Genomic DNA, 12,925 nt, shown 5'->3' with positions numbered 1-12,925 from the left:
TTTCTTTTTCTGACTGAAATATATTTTTAGGGCACGTTAATGCTAAAATTTGGAATTGCTGCATTATGCTAAAGCAGGTTCCCCAAACTGTGTTCCATGAGTGTCCTGGGGGATGTTAAAATGTTCTGAGTTTTAAAAACTCTGTGGTTAGAATTCCATGGGAAAATACAAATTGGCACATTACAGACTCGGAGGATTCTTGTGTTAAAGAAAGGTATTTAACTTTTTTTGTGTTAGAAATTCACAAATATATTTGCTGATGGAACTATTATTTTATTAACGATTGATTGATTGAATAGTTCAGGGAACACACTTCCGGAAACACCAAACTAATGCAGTAAGAATTTTCTTTTTTGTGTGCTGCAGAGCTGAAGAGTGGAACTCGCTGACTCCATTTCAGCCCCGAGTGCCGCCCCTCTTCTGATGGAAGCAGACTGTGCTGGCACTACCTGCTTGCTTTCTCATCCACTTGCGTGTCTAACAAGCTTCCCATTCACTGTCTCCTGCTCTGCCATCCAGAATGAGCAGAAGTTTTTCCATTGCCCTATTATAATCTTGCAGATCTTTAAAGGATCTCACAAAGTAGTTGTGAGCACCTTCAGCTGTCTCAGCCAGTACTCTTGTGGTACCATTGGACTTTGTGCTAACAGCAAACATCGCCTGTAAGGACTCCAGTCCTAGAATCTTGGGCGGCAGCGGGGCGGGACTCGGGGGTGGGGGGGCGGTGGGGTGGGGGCGGGGTTTGTTTAAACTCTCTTGGACCAGCCACCTGCTCTGTGGCCACTCTGTGGACCACTCACTCTCCTCTCTGGAGAGTGTCATTATTCTGACTGCCTTTTTAAAGGTTTTCATCCCTACAAAAGTTGACTTTAGGACCTCCTAACAGGGGACCTCTGTCCCAGTACTGGCTTTGTCTGCTGTTGTCAGTCTCACACAAAGTAATTCAACAAGCCATTAGTATTTGTTGACTAGGTGCTGGTGCAGTAATACCTGCCTCTCAGGGCTGGTGAAAGAGGTGGAGGAGTTCATGGATGGAATGAGTGGTTCCTGACATGGCATAATCATTAAAAGCTACTTCTTCATGGTTGGTACTTTGTGCTTGTAGTATAGAGGTGAGGAGCACAGAATTGAAAGCCAGAAAGAACTGGATTGAAAGCGCAGCTCTTCCTCTTGTTGTCTGTGTGGCACTGGTCAAGCTACCTAACCTCTCCAATGGAATCCCCACTTCATTTAGACAACGGAAATGATAATGGCCTATCCCATTGTGGTATGAGGAGCCATAAATGAAATACTGTATGTAAAGCTAGCATAATATATGATATATGGCACAGAGTGAGGGTTTAATAAATAGTAACTATGATTTGTATTAGTGCAGAGCAATGGTGGGGTGTGTATGTCTGTGTGCAGATGCAAGGACTGCTCAGTCTATGGAGTCAGAAACATCAGTAAGTAAGCATAACATCAAGTGGATTGTACATGCTACACAAATATACACAGGGAAAGTAAATTAATTTTGACAGACAAAACAAACAGTATTTTGGAGGTAGCATTTGACATTGACATGAAAACATGAGTAGATTCTATAAATTTGGGGCAATATTAAGGAGGAAGAAGATGCTAGGTACAGGGAACAGCATGAGCAAGTCAGGGATCAGAAAAATCACAGGATGTTAGAGGCAGGGTTGTGTGTTCACTCATGTTTGGGATCATGGAGTGGGGAGTGTGGACACGGGGCTGCACTGCCAGGCTAGGACCAGATCATGGAGAGCTCTGGATGCTGATCTGAGGAGTTGAGACCTCCTTTTTTAAACCCTGAGGAACCAGCAAAGGTTGGAAGAGGATAATTATAAGATTCATCCCTGAATGAACTTGCTCCCCATCTCAGCAGCAGCGCTGTCGTGGAGCCACTGGGGTTGTGACCCCACTTTGTTTCCATTCCAGCACTTGGCAAAGGGCCAGACATGTAGCAAGGACATCAAATAAATGTATAGGGGGCTCCCATCAGAACATTTGGGTTTTGGGAACACTGGAGTGGCTGTGACAGAGCCGGGAGCTTTCCTCTCATCATCCACATCAGGGTTTGGAACTAGAAAGTCTGGCATCTAATCCCTCTGTTGAATTGTGAGCGCAGCTGTGGGAGAGGTGTTTTTGGTTTTGTGTTTTTGTTTTAATCCCCCTTAGGAGCTGTCAGAGGTGCAATGGGCCTCCTCACAGTACTCTGCCCTCCTCAGCACCAGCAGGTGAACTGCTGAGTTTTCAGTGGTGAGCAAAACAGTCCTGCTTCCTTCCCTCCCCTCCCCTGTTGACACTCATATTCTGGAAGGGAACTTAGATGTTAATTAAATAATCACACAAAATAAATAACTGGAAACTGGAATGACACAAATGCATGTGCAAAGGCCCTGAGGTGGCAAAGAGCTTAGAGCATCAAGAAACCTGAATAAGAGCCAGTGTAGGCTGGGTGTGGTGGCTCACACCTGTAATCCCAGCACTTTGGGAAGCCAGGACGGGCAGATCACCTGAGGTCGGGAGTACGAGACCAGCCTGATCAAAATGGTGAAACCCCGTCTCCACTAAAAATACAAAATTAGCGGGGCATGGTGGCACATGCCTGTAATCCCAGCTACTCGAGAGGCTGAGACAGGAGAATCACTTGAACCTGGGAGGCAGAATTTGCGGTGAGCAGAGATCGCACCACCATTGCACTCCAGCATGGGCAACAAGAGTGAAACTCCATCTCAAAAACAAACAAACAAACAAACAAACAAAAAAAGCCAGTGTAGCTAGTACGCAGTGAGTGAGGGGGAGAGAGGCATGGGGTGAGGTCAGGGGAATAGGAAGAATGTGATGATTAACTTTAGTGCTGGAGGAGAAATGGAGAAAGCAGGCTGTGGACGTGAGTCACTGTGAGGATGGGAACGGGGGTGGAAGTCCAGGGGTGAAGATGGCTAGGCCCACACTTGATTTCTGATAAGGATAGACAGCTCAAAGGGGCTGATAGCATCTTGATGAAGGGCGATGGTTGAGTGATAGGAAGGCTCAGAAAGACTGGAGAGGAGGTTTGGTGACTCTAAATAGAGTGAAAATGTAGCAGCTAAGGAAGTTATAAAAATGACTTCAAGTTATGAAAATGACTAAGGCAAAGTTATAAAATAGGCAAAGTCTGCTTTATTGCTTCTCCACTTCTGTATCTTTGATAGTTTCCTACCCCACTAAACATCACACTTCATGCTTTCATTTAACAAACATTGACTGAGTCCCTCTTTCATGGCAGGTAGGAAGCCCCATGCTGGGGATACAGAGATGAACAGAAACAGACACATTCCTGAACTTGTGGAGCTGCTGAGAAAGTAAGGTTGAATAGCTGAATCCTAGTGGTCTTGCTTTATTTTTTTTAATAAGCATTGTAGGAGGTCTCTATCGTACTGTAAAACTGAAGGGCAAGCATTAACCTCAATTCTGGCAAAGACTTGATAATCATGAGACAATTTTTTTTGAGAGGGTATCTAAATTATTTCCAAAACATCATTCAATCCTTTCTATGGAGAACAGAGTTGATCAATTTAACCTGAAATTTTAATCAGGAGGTTTTTGAAATTCACTGACTCAATGTATCATTGAAAAGATCAAATTCTGCTATAATTTCACCTGTTTATTTTTAAATCAGACATTGAATGAATTTTGTCTTCAATTAGCAATGCTATTGGGCATCTAGATGTGTGCAAAGCACAAAGACTGCTCATCATCTTTAAAGAGTTTGTGGGCAATCAGATCTACTTTAGAACAGTTGCCAGTCTTTTGGCCCAAAGAACAAACATGGCATCATTTGCTGCATTGTCTACGGATTCTAGGCATCTGCAAAGCCCGTGCTGAATACTGAAAATACAAAATGCAGAACACTATGCATGAGAAAAAAGTAATAAAAAAAGACAGCTCAGAGTGAAATGTTTCTTAGGCCGAATGTAGAAAAAGTTGCTGATAAGGAACATAGTGGGAAAACTAGTCAGGATTTGCAGTGCCCTGGTGTCGGGTATGGGAGCCTTGTCTAGTCTTGTGTCTAGGCAAATGAGTAGCCTCTGAGCACTGGGTGTTTTCTGTGGTTTTCCTCTTTGGGGAAAATACTCTGGGCTCATCTCCACAGTTAGAGGGGTCGTGTTGCTTAATGTAAACACTTGAGGCAGCATTCTAACTTTTCTAGATTAGGTTCCCATGAGTTCGGTTGGCCTGAGTCAGCCTCTAATAAACTCGGGACACTGGCATAACCAAGAGTCTGAATTGGCAAAGCTGAGGACCAGCCCCCGACTTGAAGTCACTTCATTGAGGTCTCCTAGGGGCTGGGCAGCCTGCCTTATCCTGGCAAGTCCCTCCGCCTCGTCCTTGGGTGGAGTGCCACACAGTGATTCCCAGAAAAGCCAAAAATAATTAACTGAGGGCTTTATTTTCTTTAGCATTACTAGTTACCAAAGTAACTCGGTGAATTCTCTTGCTGCTCACACGGTTAGACTGCTGCCTCATGGAAAGATGCCTTGAAGTTTGACTGATTTGAGTTTTAGTGTTAGCTCTGCCACTGAGTCACATTGTCTAAGTCAATTAACTTCTCGAACTTCAGTTTCTTCATCTGTACAATATAAACCCCTCTTACAGGTTTGGAAAGAGGTTGCATGGATGAGCAATGATGTATGTATGTAAAAATGTGGGCCAGCACCTGGAAGAAACAGTACGGGCTGCTGTTTACGGAAATATTTGCTGAAGAGAGAGAGGGAAAGCCCAAACCATTTTCTTAGAGTGAGGAAGCAGGGAAGGAACACTAGATAATTCTGTCACAGGAGAAGCTCTGCTGGAGAGAAGAGAGGCTGGTCAGGAAAGGTGGGGGCTTGTCAACACCTAGGCAGGTGTTAGGGTTCCAGGCAGCCCTGATGTGCCTTAGAATCGGCCAAGTTCTTCGCAGCTGGAAGAGTTCCGAATCAGGCTTCACAGGAGAGGTCGGGAAATCACCGAGGCCTCTCCCTTGGGCTACTCTTCACCCCTTTCACCTCCCAAACCAAGGAGGTCTCCCGGAGGGCGGGGAGCCTCGGTTACTAAGCGTGAGCGCGTCCATAGTAACCGCCGCCCGACGGGTTTCCCTCCTGGCCTGACAGCTCCCGCCTCTCCTATAACTGGCCAGTCAGCTCCGGCGAGCCGGCCGGGGCGGCCGCTGAGTGGCCCTCAGGCGCTGCTATCGTCACAGATAGGAAAGGCGGGGCCAGGGCCAGACTGGTCTGGGCCCCAGTCGAGGGCTGCAGGTGGTAGGCTGCGACCCCTTCCTCCCACAGCCCCTTCCCGCCCCTCGCCGGGCATCCGCCGACAGGTGAGTGGTCTCGCTGACTCTAGCCTGCCTCTAGGACTACCCCAAAGGATCCCCCTTCGCCAACCAGGACTCCAACTTCTCGCCTCAGGATCGCGGGAGGTCGCGGACACCCTGCAATTCCTCCCCGCGATCTTCACTTTTCCTTCCAAATAAAAACCGTACAAATCCACAGGCACCTCCCACCCAGACGTTGGTTTCCTCGTAATTTACCTTTCTGATGCTTTTCAAGGGTTTTCAAGGGATGCCCAGGGAAGGGGCATCCGAACCCCCGACACTGTGCTAATTCGTTTAATTTCTTAATTCTAATAATTACCCGTTAGCAGCGCTGTGCCTTTCCACTGCGGTGCTGGCCGCCCCGCACGCTGTTCCTCGTCCCCCTCTGCTTCAATAGCCGAGCCTTCAGATCTGCAGCCACGGGGAGGAGAGTTCAATCACCTGGTCTTGTAGACCGAGCTCCTTAAATTCAGATCAAAGCTGTTCTCTCACCGCCCAAAGTCGTTTCTGTTTAGCTTGGCTGCAAAGCTTTCGCTTGTGTTTGGGCAGTTTAGACCAAACCCCTTTATGTTTTCTCCTGGATGTATATAGTATTGTAGAGAAATAAACATCCTGGAAATGGGTAAAATTATTTGTTTGATTATTGTGAAAAAAATATACAGTTTTACTAACAGGCGAAAATGTTTTGAGGTAACTGACAAAATATTCTACTTTTTTCTTCTTTAAAATAAAATACTTCACACAATAAGTAGAGTGAACCCAGGGGTGAATCCATGTACCCAGTCCAAACTTAAACCAACAAAAAATCGATTACAGGCACAATTAAGGTCTGTTATGTAACCCTTGGAAATCCCATTCCCCTCTCTCCTTACCTATCCCTATTAACCAACAGAATTTAGCATTTACTTATATTCTGCATATTTTTATACTTTTACTACTCATATGTTTATCCTAAACCAATGTATACTTTTTTTTTGAGACGGAGTCTCGCTCTTGTCGCCCAGGCTGGAGTGCAATGGCATGATCTCAGCTCACCGGAACCTCCGCCTCCCAGATTCAAGCGATTCTCCTGCCTCAGCCCCCTGAGTAGCTGGGATTACAGGTGCCTGCCACCACAACTGGCCAATTTTTTTTTTTTTTTTTTGTATTTTTAGTAGAGAGGGGGTTTCACCAAGTTGGCCAGGCTGGTCTCGAACTCCTGACCTCGTGATCCTCCCAAAGTGCTGGGATTACAGGCATGAGGACCGCGCCCGGCCTACTGTTACTTTTTAAGTTGATAGAATGGTTATGCTGTACGTGTTGCAGGTCATTCATTTGAACTGTTGTGTGGTGATTCTTGCATGAATTTACCACATATTATGTATGCATCCTCCTGTTGATGGACTTTTAGTTTGCTCCCTTTAAAAATACTAGAAAGGAATTCTTGTACATTCTAATTGTAAACATATTTGCATTTCTCTAGGTACATACCAAGAAATTGAATTGCTGAGTCACAGGTAATTTGCCATTTCAACTTTACTGGATACCACCATCTAGCTCTCCAAAGTGTAATAATTTATATACCATCGATGAATAGAGTTCCTTAACCAAACTTTTTTTTTTGAAGAGATGAAGTTTTCCTGTATTCTTATGTAATATATGCATAAAGAGAAATTAAACATTGATGTCTGATATGATTTCTTCTACTTCTGGTATTTGTTAGTGTATTGGCAGCGCTGTTTTATTTCCGCTCCTATTTAGAACTGTAATTAAGTGGCTACAAAGGAACTAAAGGGGTTTGTATGTGAGCCCTTCAAGCCTATGCTTGCCCCTGATCTAAGGCAGGGTGTGGGGCAAGTCATGTAAACTTGTGTCTTCTGCAGAAAATGGTCTGTAGATTTTTGTACTTTAAAATATTTATGATCTTCCAGTCTTGCTTAAATATGCTAATAAAATGTTTACCCAGTATGAAGCCAACTTTTGGATAGCAAATGGAGCTTTCCGGTTCTTAAAATCTCTGTGTGATTGATTCTATATTTAGTATGTTAATATTTATGGAAGACTATTGTAGCATTTTTTTCAGTATGTAAATAACAGTTGACTGTAAATTAAGTGCACCTAGTCAAACATTGTATTTGACTTTGTAGCCCATGTCTCATTTCTTAAAATTCTGTTTGGGCACATGTCTTAGTTTTCTGCTGCTATAACAGAATACCAGAGACTGGGTGATTTATAAAGGCGGAGATTTATTGGGCTCACAGTTCTGGAGGCTAGGAAGTCCAAGATCCAGGGGCTACATCTGATGGGGGTCTTCTTGCTACATCATAATATGGCAGAAGGACAAGTGAATGAAAGAGACAGAGACAACGGGGGTGAATTTATTATTTTATCAGGAGCCCACTTCTGTGATAACTAATCCACTCCCACAATAATGGCATTATTCCATTCATGAGGTCAGACCCCTTATAACATAATCACCTCTTAAAAGTCTCACCTCTTAATACTGCACAATGGTAATTAAATTTCAACTTGAGTTTTAGAGGGAAACATTCAAACCAAAACATCATGATTAAATGTATAATAAGCAGTTGCCTAATTTAGGGGATTTTTCCATAGCTATTTTCAGTCATTTTTCCAAAGAATTTGCTGTTTCTTTGCAAGTATGAGATATTTATAGCATCGGTTAATGATCTTAGTATGTGCTGCACATGCTCTCTTAAGAATTGACTGGCTGGGCGCGGTGGCTCACGCCTGTAATCCCAACACTTTGGGAGGCCGAGGCTGGCAGATCACGAGTTCAGGAGATCGAGACCATCCTAGCTAACACGGTGAAACCCGTCTCTACTAAAAAAAAAAAAAAAAAAAAAAAAAAATTAGCCAGGTGTGGTGGCAGGCGGCTGTAGTCCCAGCTACGCTGGAGGCTGAGGCAGGAGAATGGCGTGAACCCAGGAGGCGGAGCTTGCAGTGGCGCCATCTTGGCGCCACTGCACTCCAGCCTGGGGGACAGAGCGAGACTCCATCTCAAAAAAAAAAAAAAGAATTGACTGAGTTAGAATTTAGAGAGTAAGTTAATCATTGTGAAAGATGCGCACCACCAAAGTAAGCCATAGGCTTTTAAAAACTGAGGTATTTCTTCCTTAAAAGTTTGGTAGAATTCACCAGTGAACCCATTGGAGCTTGAAGTTTTCTTTGAGGAAAGTTTTTAAACTGTAGATTCAATTTTTAAAAAATACTACAAGGCTACTCAGGTTTTCTAACTCTTCTTTAATCAGTTTTGGTTATTTGTATCTTTCAAAAATTTTGTCCATTTCATCTATGTTGTCAAATTTCTTGCCATAAAGTTGTTAGTAATATTGCTAAATATTGTATTAACCAATATTTTGTTTACTTGCTCTATGATTTACTAACAGACAAACGTTGAAATATTGAAATATAATGTGGATTTGTCTATTTCTCATTTTAGTTCTGTCAATTTTTGCTTTAGGTGTTGAAAGTTAGGTAAATGATTACATAAACATTTAATATTGCTATATCTCCTTGACTGATCCCTTTATCCTTATTTTTCTCTTTATCTCCGATAATATTTCTTGTTTAGAAGTCTACTTGATTTGATATTAATATAGCCACTTCTGTATTCTTTTGATTAGTGTTTAAACAGTCTATCTTTTCTCATACTTTTATTTATTTCTTTTTTCTTTTCTCTTGAGATGGAGTCTCACTCTGTCGCCCAGGCTGGAGTGCAGTGGCATGATCTCGGCTCACTGCAACCTCCGCCTCCCAGGTTCAAGCAATTCTCTGCCTCAGCCTCCTGAGTAGCTGGGATTACAGGCAACTTCCACCATGCCCGGCTAATTTTTGTATTTTTAGTGGAGTTGGGGTTTCACCATCTTGGCCAGGCTGGTCTTGAACTTCTGACCTCGTGATCCACCAGCCTCAGCCTCCCAAAGTGCTGGGATTACAGGCGTGAGCCACCGTGCCCAGCCCATATTTTTATTTTTAACTTATTTGTGTTTTATATTTAAAGTGAGATTTTTCCTGGACAGCTTATAGTTCAATATTGCTATTTAAAAACGATTTCTAATAATCTGTGCCTTTTAATTGGATTGTTTAATTATCAGCATAGTTGGATTTGTATCATTTTCCTGTTTTTTCTTTGTCTTATTTTTGGTTCTCTTTTCTCTTGGAATAATTATGAGTCTTTTTTGTCTTCCATTTTTTTCCTTCATTATTGGTCAAAACTCTTGTTTTTTAGTCTTAGATATTGCTCCAGCTCAGTGGTTCAAAAACATTTTTATCTCAGGACACCTTTACATTCTTAAAAATATTGAGGACCTCAAAGAGCTTTTACTTATGTGGATTATATCTATTGTATTTATTATACTAGAAATTAAAAACTATAAATTATTTTAAAATAACCATAATAATCCATTATACATTAACATAATGTTTTTATTAAAACATTTATTTTTATTATTTTTTTTCTGAAACAAAAAATAATTTAGTAAGAAGTATTTAGTATTGTTTTATATTTTTGGCAAAGTAATTTTTAGCTTAGTAGCTGGGCTCTCATCCTCATTCAGCCTGTTGTGATAGTATGTATCATGTCACCTCTGAAAAGCTCCATTGTAAATTTGTGAGAAAGGCAAATAGCATCTGAGTATTTACTATGAAAACAATTTTGACCATTTCACCTCCAAAGAGGTCTTAGGCATACCCATGGGTCCTTAGTTTACATTTTGAGAACTGGCTATTCTAAAGTTTGCAATACATATTTTTAACTTATCACAGTATATGTTTAAATGACATTATTTCACTTCAGTTATAAGACCCTTATAATCTAATATGGCCATCTAAGCCCTCCTATCATTTGTGCTATGGCTACCATATAATTTACTTCTATTTTATTAATGCCACAATTTTTTATTTTTAGTTTAAATAATGATCTTTTAAAGAAATTTGAAAGTTAGAAAGATTTTTTTTTTTCTTATTAGCACACATGCTTACCATTTCTGACATTTTTATTTCTTTGTGTGGATCCAAGTTTCCATCTGGTATAATTTCCTTTTGCCTGAAGAATTTCCTTTAACAATTCTCTTATTGCAGGTCTGCTGCTGATGAATTCTTTTGGATTTCGTTTTTATGAAAAGATTTTATTTCACCTTCATTTTTTGAAGGATATTTTCACTAGATATAGAATTTGAGGCTTACACTTTCTTCCAGCCCTTTTAAAATGTTGTTTGTCTTCTGGTTTGGGTAGTTTCTGACAATAATTCAGCACTAATTCTTATCTTCGTTCTTTTTTTCCAAATATGTCCTTCCTGTCTGATTTTCAAATTTTCTCTCTATCCCTGGTTTTCAGCATTTTGATTATGAGCCTTGGAGTGGTGGTGGCAGCAGGGGGTTGTGTGTGTGCACGTATGTGTGTGTGTGTGTGTGTGTGTATTCTTGGAGTTTGTGGAGCTTCTTGACCTAGGTATTTATAGTTTTCAGCAAATTTGGGAAATATTCAGCCATTATTTCCTCAAATATTTTTGTCTCTCTACTTTTTTTTATGGCACTGCAAAACCTTAATATTAGAACCTTTGCTATTGCACCATAGGTTACCAAGGTGCTTTTAATTTTCTTTTTTAGTTAAAAAAAAAGTCTGAGCTCACTAATTTCTAATGTGCTGTTAATCTCATGTAGTGAAGTTGTGCAAGTATATATTGTATGTTTTATTCCTGAAGTTTATTTGGTTCTTCTCCAGTCTTCCATTTCTGTCTTCTCAATGTCCTTGTATCAAATACTTGTATGTAGTTTACTAGTTCCATCATCTCTGCCATTTCTAGGCCTCCTTCCATTGACTGATTTTTCTTTAGGGGTTACATTTTTGAGCTCCTTATTATGTCTGGTCATTTTTGACTGGATGCTGGACATTGTGATGTTACATATTGGAGTGTCTTGATGTCAGGTAGTTAAGTTACTTGTGGATTAGCTTGATATCTTTGAGACCTGTTTTCAAGCTTTGCTAGAGTGAGTCTTCATTACCTTCACTCCAGGTATAGTTCAGCCCTACCTCTAACGTGTGGCCTCTCTAGTGTCTCCCTTGAATGCTCCAGGTGATTGTCAATGACCCTCCAATCTAGTTAGTCTGTGTTCATAATGTATCTCCACCCTCTGTAAGTTCTAGAAATTGTTCAGCTAACAGCTCTGCCATCACTCTTTGCCAAGGTTTGTGGAGTGTTCCTTGATGCATATGCAGCCTATTCTCAGCAAAGACTCACAAAGATCCCTTTGTAGATTTCTGGATCTCTATTTCGGCATAGCTCACTTTATTCCAGAAACCTGCTCTACAATTTCTAGCTTTCTCAGCCTCCCTGAATTCTGATCACTTTCTCAACTCACAAAAGCTGCCAGGCTCTGTTCAGTTTTCATGTTTTTTCTCATTGTCTGAAAATTGCCTTTAGGCACAATACCTTGACAATCAGAGGGCTCACCTTATTTGTTTCCCTTCTCTCAAGGATCAGAGCCTATGATGCCTGTTGTCTGAGGTCTGAATGCAGTTGTTTCATATATTTTGTCTAGATTTTTAGATATAAGAGGCTAAGTCTGGTTTTTATTATTCTGTCATGGTTGGAGGTAGAAATCAGTTTTCAGTTTTTAAGTATTTCTTAGTTCATGACAGTCTTGGTTTTCTTGACCATTAATGGCCCAAAATGCATGACAGTGGAATATTTTGGTGAAACCATCCCCACGTGATGTCTTTTATTCAGTCTTCCTGAATGGCTTACAAGATGGCTGGTGGAGCTAGAACTTCAGGTGTGGCTGTAAAATATTCTCTCCATATGAAACTGACTGCCGTACATGAGGAGTTCTACTTCTGTGATCTGTAAACCACTATGCTTTATGCTTTAGATTCCAGATTCTAAGACAAATCTCACCTCTAATTAAAAAACACATCACCAGGTGCTTTTGTAAACTATATTTGTTTTTCTCAGTCCACATATCTCATCTGGTGTGTAAACCTCTGCATCTTCAGATATCACCCCTGGAGCAGATGACTCACATTTCAAACATGGGTTGAGACGTCTCAAGATGCCTATATAACAAATGCTGGGAAAACTCACGTGGCATTCTACACGTGAAATTCCATGGTTGAAGGATGAAGTGAGCTATTGGTTTCTGGATCTCTTATTGTCAAGAATTAAGCAGGCTGGGCATGATGGCTCATGCCTGTAATCCCAGCACTTTGGGAAGTTGAGGTGGGGGATCACTTGTGGCCAGGAGTTTGAGACCAGCCTGGGCAACATAGTGAAACCTGCTCATCTCTACTAAAATAAATAAATAAAAGTAGCCAGGCATGGTGGTGTGTGTTTGTAGCTCCAGCTACTTGGGAGGATTGCTTGAGCCTAGGAGTTCAAGGCTGCAGTGAGCAGTGATCATGCCACTGCATTCCAGCCTGGGCAACAGAGCAAGATTCTGTCTCTGAAAATAAAATAAACCAGCTGGGCGTGGTGGCTCACACCTGTAATCCCAGCACTTTGAGAGGCCGAGGTGGGTGGATCACAAGGTCAGGAGATCCAGACCATCCTGGCTAGCATGGTGAAACCCCGACTCTACTAAAAA

At 41.5% G+C, this 12,925-nt stretch overlaps 1 protein-coding gene across 7 annotated transcripts in view; it reads left to right on the top strand.

Moving 5' to 3' along the window:
- Positions 1-3,193: 3,193 nt before the first annotated feature.
- The window catches only part of TEKT3 (tektin 3), a 39,860-nt gene continuing 30,128 nt past the window's right edge, over positions 3,194-12,925 (top strand). For 4 of the 7 annotated variants that reach the window (XM_017024955.2, XM_011523990.3, NM_031898.3 and 1 more), the window contains exons 1-2: positions 5,268-5,347; positions 6,804-6,837. The gene's annotated coding sequence lies outside the window, so the exon portion shown is untranslated. Of the gene's footprint in view, positions 3,351-5,267; positions 5,348-6,424; positions 6,444-6,803; positions 6,838-12,925 lie in introns of those variants that run through there. The other 3 variants (XM_017024954.2, XM_011523988.3, XM_011523989.2) reach the window with 3 other exon arrangements.

This window comes from Homo sapiens, chromosome 17 (genome assembly GCF_000001405.40).
Source record: "Homo sapiens chromosome 17, GRCh38.p14 Primary Assembly".
Classification (NCBI taxonomy): domain Eukaryota; kingdom Metazoa; phylum Chordata; class Mammalia; order Primates; family Hominidae; genus Homo; species Homo sapiens.
This window is presented reverse-complemented; position numbering and strand designations above follow the sequence as displayed.